This window comes from Homo sapiens, chromosome 6 (genome assembly GCF_000001405.40).
Source record: "Homo sapiens chromosome 6, GRCh38.p14 Primary Assembly".
NCBI classification, from domain to species: domain Eukaryota; kingdom Metazoa; phylum Chordata; class Mammalia; order Primates; family Hominidae; genus Homo; species Homo sapiens.
In genome coordinates, this window is record NC_000006.12 from 25,096,810 (window position 1) to 25,110,466 (window position 13,657).

The following is a 13,657-nucleotide window of genomic DNA, read 5'->3' on the forward strand; positions in this document are numbered from 1 at the left end:
AGGCAGGAGAATCGCTTGAACCTGGGAGGTGGAGGTTGCAGTGAGCCAAGATCGCTCCACTGCACTCCAGCCTAGGCAACAGAGTGAGACTCCATCTCAAAAAAATAAAATAAAAAGTGATGTGTGGATTTTACTGTATAACAAACAAAATAGGAACCTGTCAAGAGGCCAGAGGTGAGCCATTTATTTTCTAATAGTATTGAAAAAAAATTATAAAACATTTTTATCCTCTAAAAATATTTAAGCCAAACCTGTCTGTTCGATCCTTCAGCATTCTTCCCAGATCAAGGGTGGCTCCCGGTCGAGGGGTCCATGTTATCACATCAGAGTTTTTCTTGATAAGATTGTTGAGTTCATTTGGGTCATTTTTGGTGTTTGTTTCCTTGATGTACCTGAGAAATAAAAGCATTCCTATGTAAGAAAGTTTATTCTCAGGTGCATGGTCTGATGAGTACAGATTTTTGTTTTATTTTCTCCACATTTTCACTTTCCAATCTTCCTCCACTTATTCCATGGAAAAATAAAGACTATATTTGGGCTAATGTCCCTAATTAGAGAAGAAGTGTCAGTCAAAGAAGGTTGTACTTATACTTTGTTTTTAAGTATAATTGCATGGTGATTGGAATTGAAGTTAGATGTAGCAAGACTGACTACTGAAAATAGGTGGGAATTGCACACTCCTGTATTTAATGTTAATATATGGATTAACTATTATTTGGCAGGCATTATACTAAGTGTTTAATATGAACTAATTGATTACCTTCACAATGCCCCATGAGGCACTATTATGATGCTCATTTTAGAGAGAGAGAAACTAAGCCTTAGAGAAGACACATGACTTGCTTGAGGCCATACCATTAGCAGTCAGCCCAGCCCCAGCTCTCCACCCAGCTGTCTGACACAGGCTGTGCAGCCAGTGAAGCCTCAGCCCTCACAGTTGCCACAAAACTTTGGGAGTAAAATCTGAAAAGCTTTTACATTCAAAACCATTAAAAATCTACTTGTTGGCTGGGTGTGGTGGCTCATGCCTGTAATCCCAGCACTTTGGGAGGCCGAGGCGGGCGGATCACCTGAGATCAGGAGTTTGAGACCAGCTTGGCCAATGTGGTGAAATCCCCTCTCCTGTCTCTACTAAAAATACAAAAATTAGCCGGTCATGGTGGCGGGTGCCTGTAATCCCAGCTACTCTGGAGGCTGAGGCAGGAGAATCGCTTGAACTCAGCAGGCGGAGGTTGCAGTGAGCCGAGATCATGCCATTGCACTCCAGCCTGGGCAACAAGAGCAAAACTGTGTCTCAAAAAAAAAAAAAAAAAATCTACTTGTTACACACACATATCCTCAGTTGCAACCCATCTTGAGATCCAATTTCTTTTTTTCTTTCTTTCTTTTTGAAACGGGGTCTCACTCTTTCATCCAGGTAGAGTACAGTGGCATGAACATGGCTCACTGAAGGTTCAACCTCCTGGGCTCAAGCAATTCTCCTGCCTCAGCCTCCCAAGTAGTTGGGACTACAGGCATGCACCACTATGCCAGACTAATTTTTTGACATTTTGTAGAGATGGGGTCTCACTTTGTTGCTGAGGCTGGTCTTGACTACTCCTGGGCTCTGAGATCTAATTTCTTTCTTTCGAGACAGAGTCTTGTTCTGTTGCCCAGGCTGGAGTGCAATGGCACAACTTGGCTCACTGCAACCTCCACCTCCCGGGTTCAATCAGTTCTCCCTGCCTCAGCCTCTCAAGTAGCAGGATTACAGGTGCCCACCACCATGCCCAGCTAATTTTTGTATTTTTAGTAGAGATGGGGTTTCGCCATGTTGGCCAGGCTGGTCTTGAACTCCTGACCTCAGGTGATCTGCCCGCCTCTGCCTCCCAAAGTGCTGGGATTACAGGCATGAGCCACTGTGTCTGGCTGAGATCTAATTTCTAACTGTGGCATTGATAGAAGCGTGGTGTCTCCCAAATCTAATTCCATACCACAATCTTTCTTGAAAAGCCTTAACTCTTCAATTTCAATGTCATACAAGAAGGTGATTGTGGTTGTGTTGGAGCAGAAAGAGAAAGATCCAGAGAACGAGATTTGTCACTGTGATTCACCTAACATGGGTTTTATAGACAGACATTTCTGTTAAAGGGAATTTTACTTTCTTGAGCTACAAATTGGTTACACAGACGTGATAGATATTTTTAGTGAGATAAGTAAAAAGTACATAATCATTTGTATTTCTATAGCACCAAGGTGACACATTTATGATCTTGGAATCAATTTTGTAGACACAGGTGAGAACGCTGTCACTGCACCAAAGGCGTCAGTAGCTTTTCTCTTTTTACACACATTAATATCCTCCCACTGTTACAGTCACCACCTTGTCTCATCTTCTTCCAGCCTTTAGTCTCTACATGGTTCACTAACAGGTTTCCCTGCCTCCAACTATGTTACTATTCATTACTCTTCCTAAAACATAATGTGTGGTGGTCACAAAGTTCTGTAACTTCTTGATGTGTCTTTGTCTCTCTATAAAATAAAAATAAAATCAGTATCTAGATGGGGTATTGTGGGAAGTGAAAGTATTTGCCAACTGCTTACATGCAACAGTACAGCTTTTAATTGCTTTAAATGACAGCATCACATTAAGTGGTCAAGTACCCACCACCTCCAATTCTTCTCCACATCCTTGCAACTCAACCTACTTAATATTTCTTGAATCTGCATTCTCACTCCCCACTGCCATTCATTATTCCTTCCTGGGTTATTGCAATAGTTTCCAAACTGGTCTTCCTTTCCCTTTGCCATCACACAGGCATACAAACTAACCCCTCCAGTTCACATCTGATTACATCCCTGTTCCTCACCCGACTATCAGGCTCCCTATCCTTCCAGGAAAAAATCCAAATCACGTAGCATGTCCTAAAGTGCTCATACAACCCCTGTCTCCTGTTCTGAACTGCAATTTCTCATCCCAGCATCTTTTTATCTTTGCTGGTCAGTTCCTACTCCTTCTTTAAAATGCAGCATTCATAGACTCATCCAGTGTTCGTCTCCTCTCCTGCGTCTGTATCCCCTTGCCTGCATTGATCATTCTGTATTCCAGTTGTTCTTCTCTTCTAATAGACCATCACTCTGAGAACAGACAATCATTTTATCTCTAGTTCTCCAGTACTTAGCACAGTGCTGCTCAGTGAATGACAAATGAATTTACAAGTAACAAAGAGCAATGATCAAAAGAAATTATGTTTTAACCTTAGACCAATCTTTTCTGAAAAAATTTGGAAGATACAAGAGAGCTAAATAATGTCAACAAGAAGTTTAAAAAGAAACACATCAGCAAGAGACCACATTAAGCAATTATACACATGTAGCTACGTTGCAAGAGAACGTAGCATGTCAAAATGATGACAGGTTTTTAACAATGAGACAAATGAAGTGCAGAGAAGTCAGATAGATGGTGGTAGAACCAAAACCACAATCCCATGTACACCGCTCCTTCTACTGTACTGCTGCTTCCAGTTGATGAGAAGTCATGGGCAGTCCTAACAAGATTACTGTCACAAAAACTCGCCTCGAGGACCGACTTATTATCCAATAAATTCAGACAAATACAGGTAAGTGTACTTTCTTGGTAAAATGACACATGCATTTCCTGCCTGCACATAAACAGTCCCTGCCCTTTGTTCACAAAATATCAGTAACTGTATGATAAAATAAATGTTTTTGTGAAGCAGATGATTGCTCATGAAAACGTTATAGCTAGGGGATGAGTCACTGCATAAGCTCAGGATCAAATAAATTTTATATACAATCAAGGAAATCTTAGCAAAGTTTAAACATCTATAAACTTTCCTTTAGCATTTAAAATAAAATTGTACTCCATATAACACAAAATGGATAGATTTATTATATGTATTGCTTTTGCAAGGGATTATGAAGTCCATAAAATGTGCATGTAATATAACTTGATTGTATCACAAATATGATTTAAACAAATATGCTTGCTGGGCTCAGTGGCTCACGCCTGTAATCCCAACACTTTGGGAGGTCAAGGTGGGAGGATCATTTGAGGTCAGGAATTGGAGACCAGTCTGGCCAACATGATGAAACCCTGTCTCTACTAAAAATACAAAAAATTTAAAAAAATTAGCTGGGCATGGTGGTGCATGCCTGTAGTCCCAGATATTCAGGAGGCTGAGGCAGGAGAATCCCTTGAACCTGGGAGGCAGAGGATGCAGTGAGCTGAGATTCAGCCATTGCGCTCCAGCCTGGGTTGACAGAGCTCGACTCTGTTTCTACCAAAACCAAAACAAAAAAACAAAAACCCCACAAACAAACAAACAAAAAACCCAATATGCTTGCCTTAACTACCAAGGCTTAAGGTGCTCTTTAAGAATCACCATGTTTGCCTTTTTTGATCTTTAATTTTTCAAATTTACTGAGATCCTTTTTTTTTTTTTTTTTTTTTTTTTTTACTTTTTGAGGGAGTACAGATCTATAGATCTTAACACAAATATAGATTCATGTAACTGCCACCACAATCGGGATACAGGACAGTTCATCACCCCCAAAACTTCCTTGCATTGCACCTTTGTAGTAAAATCCTTCTTTAACCCCTACCTCCTCACAATCGCTGATCTACTCTCTATCCCTATAACTTTGCCTTTTCCAGAATATCATATACATAGAATCTTTTAGTATGTAACCTTTTGAGACTGGCTTCTGTCACTCAACACAGTGCCTTTGAGATTCATCCACACTGTTGTATGCAGCAGTTCTTATTCTTGAGTAGTAGTCTGTTGTATGACTATACCAGAGCTTGTTTATCCATTCACCTGTTGAAGGCTATTTGGGTTGATTTGGTGATTATGAATAGAGCTACTATTAATATTTGCATATAGATTTTTTGTGTGAATAAAGTTTTAATTTAATTAGGGCAGATACTCAGGAGTGGAACTGTTGGATCATACAGTAAGGTTAGCTTCAAAGACACTGCAAAAGCGTTTTCCAGAAGGACTGCACCATTTGGCATCCTTAAGAGCAAAGTGTGAGGGCTCCTCTTGGTCTGTATTTTTGACATAAGTTGGTATTGTCAATTTTCCAAAGTGCCATTAATTCTAATAGTTATGCCATTGTGGTGTTAATTTTCATTTTCCTAATGGCTAATGCTATTCAGCATCTTTGCATATGCTTATTTGACATCCATATATCTTCTTTGGTGATGTATCTGTTCAAATATTTTGCCAATTTTTAAATCTTCTTACTATTGATTTTTAAAATTATTTTTAAATCGTAGTCTTATTGCTGAGTTTTGAGAGTTCATTATATGTTCTGGATACAAATTCTTTGTCAGGTATGCTATTTGCAAAATGTTCTCAGAGTCTATAGTTTGCCTTTTCATCCTCTTAATAGTTTCCTATTTATAGAGCAATCATTTTAAATTTTGATAAAGAATAATATATTAATTTTTAAAATAGATCATGCTTTTGATGCAACATCTAAGAAGTCTTTCCCTAACCCATGGTCAGGAATATTTCCCCTATATTTTCTTTTAAAAATTTTATAGTTTTATATTAACATTTATATCTATAATCCATTTTTACTTACTTTTTGCATGTGACATAAGGTTCAGATCGAGGTAGGTTTTTTTTTTGGTTCAGATCGAGGTAGGTTTTTTTGTGTGTGTGTGTATGGGTGTGCAATTTCTCCAGTAACATTTGTTGAAAAGACTACCCTTTCTCCATTAAATTGCCTTTTTCCGGGCCGGGCACAGTGGCTTGCAGCTCATGCCTGTAATCCCAGCACTTTGGGAGGCCAAGGCAGGTGGATTGTGAGGTCAGGAGATTGAGACCATCCTGACTAGCATGGTGAAACCCCATCTCTACTGAAAATGCAAAAAATTAGCTGGGCGTGGTGGTGTGTGCCTGTAGTCCCAGCTACTCAGGAGGCTGAGGCAGGAGAATCACTTGAACCCGGGAGGTGGAGGCAGAGGCTGCAGTGAGCCGAGATCACGCCACCACACTCCAGGCTGGGCGACACAGTGAGAATCCTTCCCCACCCCCCAAAAAAAAGCCTTTTTTTCATTCACATTTCCCCAAATTGCATCTTTGCCAAAAATCAATTGGCCATATTTGTGTGGATCTATTTCTGGATTCTCTATTCTGTTCCATTGATGTCTGTGTCTATTCCTTCACCAGTATCACACTATCTTGATTACTGCAGCTTTATAGCTAATCTTAAAATTAGAGAATATGTTCCTCTAATTTTATTCTTCTATTACAGAATTATTTTGATTAGTCTAATTCCTTTGCCTTTCCTATAAATTTTAGACATTATCTAGATCTACAAAATATCCTGCTGGGATTTTGATGGGCATTGTACTGAATCTATAAATTTGGGGATAATTAAAATATGAACTATATTGAACATCCAATTCATGAATATGGTATGCTGTTCCATTTATCTAATTAGAGTCTTTGATTTCTTTCATCTGTTTTGTAGTTTTTAGCATATGTACTCTGATATCCTTTTTAGGGTCAGGTCCACACACACAGTGCAGCTTTGGAGTTAACCCAGGAGTTTATCCATAATTTTATGGGCTCACTTTCCTAAGCCTCCTCCTATCTGAAATCTCTCCATGATTTTCTGCTTCCCAGGTATCCCCTTCATCTTCTGGTTGAAAAGCCAGGGCTTCGATTTCCCTGTACTGCTGTGCATGTTCTGGAAACTGCATATGCTTGTGGGGCAAAGTGGTGAGAGGTTAGCGAGAGAAAAGACTGCAACAAGGATTCTCTTCGTATTATTCGAACCGAAATTGCTTTGATTTGAGAAAATGATTCTTTTTCCTTGGAGTGTCATCTATGAGTGAGGCTTCTAGCAGTCCTTCACCAGGAGAGTTGCTCAGGGCCTCTCTCATAAGCATATGTACAAAAAGTGAAAGTAAGTTAATTTTTGACTTAATTACTTAGGTGGCTAGAAGCAGCAAATCAAAGAGAAGGATTGAGACTGCTGGTAAAGATTTGTTACAGCAGTGAAGAATGATCACTAACTTAGCAAAACTGTAACGAGCAGATATAATGCTTTACTGCCTGGGGCCGTTTAGTGCAGGGGCAAACAGCTCAATGGACTAGAACACATCCTGTTATAACATCCTCCAGTGAACTGTAGGAACATCAAGCTGTTACATTACATTCTAAAACTTTGAAATGATGAATCCATGATATCAAGAAAAGATCAATTATGTTCTAATACTCTTTCTGAGAAGACAATTATACCTAAATCATAAAATTTTCACATCTAGAGAGATAAACTATACCTATCCAGAAAATTTTGCTACCTAGCATGATTTCACTATTTAGAATGCCCAAGTTCCCAGAAGTTCTATACAGCTAAGATTTTACTCTATTAAAAGGTCTATGATGCCAAAAATTATTAAACTCTGTTCAACAGAAATACAATTCAAGCATGTGTAATTTTAAATTTTCTAGTAGCAACATTAAAAAAGTACACAGTAACAGGTAAAATTAATAGATTTTACTTAACTCAATCCAAATATGTTAATATGAAATCAATTTTTAAAAATTATTGAGATATTGTGCATTCTTTTCTGCATTATCAAGTCTTTGGAATCCAATGTATATTTTAAACAGAGTACATCTCAATTTAGATCCTACATTTTCATCAGAAAGACTTGATCTATAGATCTTATAAAATGAATAGTTCAAAAAGTAGCTTCTCATGCTCAAGTTGTTCCACACATACCCAAAAAGTTTCCCAATAAAAAGAAGCAAGTACTAAAAATGTACTTTCATGTAGCACTCAAATCCACATTGACACAACTGGTTCATATTTTTTTTTAGAAGAACTGATTTGGCTTTGAAGCAAAAGCATAACAGTTTCAAAACTATGCCTGTCCAAGTTTAGTAAATTCACTAACTTTTGTGTCAACTCATTAATATTACCATTGAATTCAAAGGGGTATTACATAAATCAAAACTCAACTATAAATTATCAATACTAATGAAACATTCTTCAAATTTTACTCAACTTTGCAGTCAATTTTAATGCTGTCAATTAAAAATAAAATCTGCATATTGGTTTTTTAAAAATGTATAAAACTGTTATTAATTGGTGCCATGAAAAGTTTCCATTTTAATATAAATACGTGTGATGGGTTGTTTTCCCCTCAAAAATGAAATGTTAAAGTCCTAAGTCCTAGTACCTCAGAATGTGACCTTATTTGGAGACAGGGTCCTTATGGAGGTAATCAAGTGAAAATGAGGTCATGTAGGTGGGCTCTAAAACAATCTGACTGATGTCTTTATAAAAAAAGGAAAATGTGGACACAGATAGGCACACAGGGAAAATGCCATGTGAAGAGACAGAGTAAAGATGGTCATCTACAAGCCAAGGAGTGTCTGAGGCAACCAGAGGCTGGGAGAGGGCCGGGAACCAATCCTTCCCCAGCGGCTTTAAACGGACCATGGCTCAGCCCACACCTTATTTCAAACTTCTGACCCCTAGAACTTAACAAACGTTTGTTAACAAAAATTGTAATAGGTTTCTAGGGCTGTTGTAACAAATTTTTGTTACATGACCCAGTTTATGTTCCTTTGTTACAACAGCTCTAGGAACCTAATAAAATATTTCTTCCCGTGTAACTAAGTCACAATTAAGCTTTTCCTTTCATTGTGTTCAAATACAAGGTGTGTTCAACATAATCTGACAATACACAGTGATTAAGAGCATGACGCTGGAGTCAGACTTAGGATGAGATTCAAAATGAGTTTTTCCATAGGCACTGTGATATCAGATTAAAAAACAAACTACCCTGCCAGATTTTATCTTCGATTCCTGCATATTTGGCAAGCAATTCTTTTGTTTCAAGAAAATCTTGAAATTAATCATGTAGGTTTTCTTGACTTAACTGAGCATTGGCAAAGGGGACAAGATCAAATTCATGGTCTTTTATTTCTTTCAACAATTTCATACATTGGTGATGATTCATAGTATTTGCAGAAGTTATATTGCTGCAAGAAAAATCACATTAGATACCTAAAACATGAGAAGAAAGACATAATTCTATTCTGGAATGCAGTATGGTATAGAGAAAAGAGCTTTAGAACTAAGCATACCAGGGTTCCATTCTCAACTCATGTTTCCAACAGGGTGACTTTGGGCACGTCCCTTGACCTTTCTGAGTTTCAGATTCCTTATCTGCAAAAAAGGAACAATACCCCCTTCCTACGCATAGTGCTATTGGGAGATTAACTTAGATGGCTTAGTTAAAAGTCCCCAGTTCACTTCACATAATAAATGGCAGTTGCCATCCTCTTTCCTGGGATCCTTTCGGAGAATATCTATCTGTTATTTTATCTCCTGAAAGAGTTCCTGGCTGCCAAGTGTAACTTTTATTCATGCTCTGGGTTCTCCAGCAGCTTGTTAAAAAGTTCCAGACACCTACTAATCACTTTCCTTCTCATGTCACACTGCTTTCACAGCAAAGTCGCTCATTCCACCATACGTTAAGTTGTATGTAAAAATGTACAAAGTGTCTAGCCATACTTGTCTGATGGGTGAGATTCCACAAAATACCCAGCAAAGGGACAATAAATTCGGGGTTGCAGGTTCTTCACCAGCCGAGCCTTGTAGTTCAGGAGCTTCTTCCTTTCTGTTTTAATGAATTGGGCTTTCCATTCCTCTGAAATGACAGGATTTAGATTAGAGTCTCCTCTGCTGGAAAAATCACAGAAAAACACATGTTCTAGCAGATTGGAACTCTTTCAGGAGATAAAATTGATAGGTAACTAAGGCAGAAATAGAACAAGGCTCCATGTCATTAGTGGAGGATTTCCCCGGAGTTTTTATCTTGGAAATTTCAATTGGTTACTAGGAAAATGTTACCAAGCCAGCCAAAGGCACTGAGCTTTCTCCTTGTATATGGCAATTCATTCGGACCCTAGCTGAATACACAGGGTAGGATGCATAATCGTAGTTGGTGTGCATGCACATTTTAAGGGCATTGTAATTCTTGAAATTAACTCTTTACTAACATGAAAATGGCTTCATTATATTTGTAGATTATAACAGGTGTGTTCAACATAATCTGACAAATACACAGTGATTAAGAGCATGACGTTGGAGTCAGTTAGGTTGAAAATCCTGACCCACCACTTACTGGTTGGGCAGCCTTGGGCAAACTACCTAACTTCTCCATGTCTGTATCTTCTCTGTAAATGGAGTCATGATGCCCCTCTCACAGTGCCGTTCATTTGCTTATTCATTCACGTAACCAATATTTATTGTGCACCTACTCTGTGTCAGACGTGGTTCTAGCCACTGGGAATAAAGTGGTGAACAAGGCAAAGCAGGTCCCTGCTCTCATGGAGTGTTCATTCTAGTGAGAGAAGCAAATAATGAACAAGTAAATAAAGTCATTGCAAAGAATGATGCACCGTGAAGAAAATAAAACAGGGCAATGGAACAGAGAGTGGCTGGGGTGAGTGGGATGAGATGGAGGGAATCATTAGACAGGATGGTCAGTGAAGAGGTGACATTTGAGTTGAGACATAGATGAAAAGTTGCTGGTCACATGCAAATCAGGGCCAGCTGCACTCCAGGAAATGGAAACAGCAAACACAAAGACCCAGGGCAGGTGTGCACTTGACACTTTGGGTCTAAGAAACAAAAAGCAGGATGGGCTGATATATAGCAAGCATCAGAGTGACAGGCAGTGAAGGAACTTGAGGAATTAGACAGGACGCAGAACATACAGGGTAGAAGGTCAGAGAGCTGTTACTGTTATTGTTTCTATAAAATTTGACAAACACAGACAAGGATACAGAAAAAATATACAAGCTACCCATCACCTAGACATAATATTTTGGTATATTCAAGACCTTTTTAAATGTATATGTGTGTACTCACGCACATGTGCACACACACACAAACTCACCATCACACAGAATGGCATGATGCTAGTTAACCCTTAATAAGTATGTTTTACCTTCCCAGTCACACTTTTAACTTCTTAAGGACAGAACCTTCCCTCTATTTCTCATGTGGTTACACACTCCGGGAGGCAATGAATATAGACTTAGAGAAGAAAGCAAAGAACGGGACAAAGGTTATCTTCATATTGCAAAGCAGGGCATTTTCTGCCACACTGTTAGACAGGGATCACTTATCAGATACATTAATTTATTAAGTGGACATGTATTGAGCACTTACAATACTAGTGTTGAGGATACACACTTCCCCAATGTCAACCCCAACCCCACTCTTGGACCCAGAGCAGAAGGGCTCCTGCCTAAGACCCCCAACCAGAGGACCCTCCTCTGGGTGCACTAGAGGTCCCCAACTAGAGGACTCTCTTCTGGGCACACTGCTCCCTGATATGAGCATCCACAGTGCCAAGGGGATGTGTCTACATTGAGGCTGCACACACCCCATTAGGAACCATATTCCAAGAGCACCTAAGCCTGGATGACCCACTTCAGGCCTTTCCTGTTCTGCTCTACGGTCTACATGGTGAATCCAGATGATTCTCTTTCTTGGCTCCTCCTGAGGTGCTCTCAGATCTCAACATTTCCTTCATGCTCCATCATGTTTTGAGCTAGAAACCTTAGTTGGTAATCTGCAACTTACAAATCTGGTTTCCCAATAAGATTGCATGCTTCTTGTGGGGAGGGATCATGTCTCAATTACATTTGTATTTACTCTTACAGCATTTAGCAATGTGCCATGCGTGATACTTGGTATCACTTTCATACAAAATATTACCCGTAAATTTTCCACCACTGAAAGTCATTGGAAAGCCTGATGCTCCTCCAGCAAAATCACTCATCATTAGAGCAACCTTCATAGGCAGCCTTCCCCCATTGGGTCTGGTGCAGTCTACTATATTGAGTATTTTATGACCTGTGGAGAAACAAAGAGGTATAGATATTCAAGGTGAAATCTTGAACACCCATAGTTTGAATTCCAAGACAAGGACTTCTGTATACAGTCTGTATAATTGAACTTATTTGATTATAGAAGAATTGATTATATCAAAGGAAAAACAAACAGTAAGATTTTAAAACTTAAAGCTTTCAATAGTATATTTTCTGAATTTTCAAGCGACTAAATTCATCCCATTTGACTTGGTGGATACTAGGTGTCTCATGAAGACTTTTATCTTAATTCCACTCTAGCTCATAGATAGACTGCTTTCTTCTGTCAACTTTTTCCAGGTGTTGAGCCCAAAGGATCAGAAAAAAGTGGATTAACATACTTCCCTGTACCTTTTGCAAATTACATGCAAAGCTCATATTCAAATGATTGTTGGGGCAGTAAGGCCATCTTTTCATATGAAAAGCAGTGCATGATTATATTACATGATATTTCTAGGTGAAAGTAATAAAAGACATTTATTTAATAAATGTAGTTTTGAAGAAATCACTATAGGTGGAATGTAAAATATCTATTGCCTTATGAAAGAAATCTTTGCTCCTGTCACTATCTAGATGACATTATTTCTAATTTGTTTTCTGGAAAAATTATTTGAAAGATAGCTCCATATTTCTAGAACAAGGATATAACACGCTATATTCTTTCAAAATGGAGCTAAAAGATGAACATGTGATGAAATTTCATATAGATATTACCATCCTTCCTATTAAGAATGTTTTCCATTTTTCGTTATCAATGGGGATAAAAACATACCTTTGTACTCCACAATAATGCAAGTGTCCATCTCAGGATGAACACCGTCCATCAAGATCATGAATCGAAGATTTTTGTCCACCTGGAATTTAACAACAAAACCAACAACTGTGAATTTCAGTTTGGTTTTTAATTCAGTATTTGAGAAGGTAATCACCTGTTCTGGAAAGACTGGTCAATTGAACCTCACATTTGAAGAAATTTCCTTATTCAGAACTAGATTTATTACCTGTTCTGTAGAGTTGTACTATAATAGTATGGGTTAATAGAAAGAAAATCATCTTTGCCCAGGACAGTCTGCCTAACATTTGAATCACAAATAGAGGTTGTGTTTATGCAGTATCAGGGACATACCACATTGACCCATTTTTTCCTTAATCTTACGGTGACTATCTCACCTAACATTCATCACAGAAAGCATAACTGGAAAGCATGGAAAGAAAGCAGATTTCTGACCTGCTGCCATATTCCAAATGGCACGACATTGATATTAGTCAACTGGACACCGCTCTGATTCAGATTCCAAAATACAGGCCTTTCTGTGTTTCCAACATAAATGGGAATATCTGGTCTTCTCCCAGCAAGCTTTTTCAGTGTGGGGTAACTAGGATAAGACAGATGGAAAGGTTGAAAAGAGAAAAAAATAGTGTCATCTAGTATGACAGACAGTTTGTTCCTTATACCAACATATTGACAGAGAAGTGAGGAATTGAAAAACTGGACTCTCACCAGAGTCCAGAGAAAAGTTTCTGTTCAAGGATGACTGTGAAAGTGACGGGAGATTCTGAGGGGATTCATCTTTGTTGTTAGAACATATCAAATGCTCATGGTGTGGACATCAACCAGGTAGGTAAGTTCCATTTTCCACAGTGATGCTGCTTGAAGGAGGGGTAGTTCTAACAGTAGGCACAGACGAGAAAAAGTCATGCTGTAGAGGAAAGAAATGAAGATCACGGAGATCCTCATT

General features: G+C 38.6%; 1 pseudogene across 2 annotated transcripts in view; it reads right to left on the reverse strand.

Annotated features, from left to right (window-relative positions):
- CMAHP (cytidine monophospho-N-acetylneuraminic acid hydroxylase, pseudogene) overlaps positions 1-13,657 on the reverse strand; it is a 57,326-nt pseudogene that overhangs the window by 15,743 nt on the left and 27,926 nt on the right. Inside the window, exons 4-8 of one of the 2 annotated variants that reach the window (NR_002174.2) lie at positions 13,147-13,294; positions 12,691-12,772; positions 11,767-11,904; positions 9,550-9,685; positions 252-392 (exon numbers count right to left, since the gene is read on the reverse strand). The product of NR_002174.2 is annotated as a cytidine monophospho-N-acetylneuraminic acid hydroxylase, pseudogene, transcript variant 1 (transcript). Of the gene's footprint in view, positions 1-251; positions 393-9,549; positions 9,686-11,163; positions 11,905-12,690; positions 12,773-13,146; positions 13,295-13,657 lie in introns of those variants that run through there. The other variant, NR_027626.1, reaches the window with a different exon arrangement.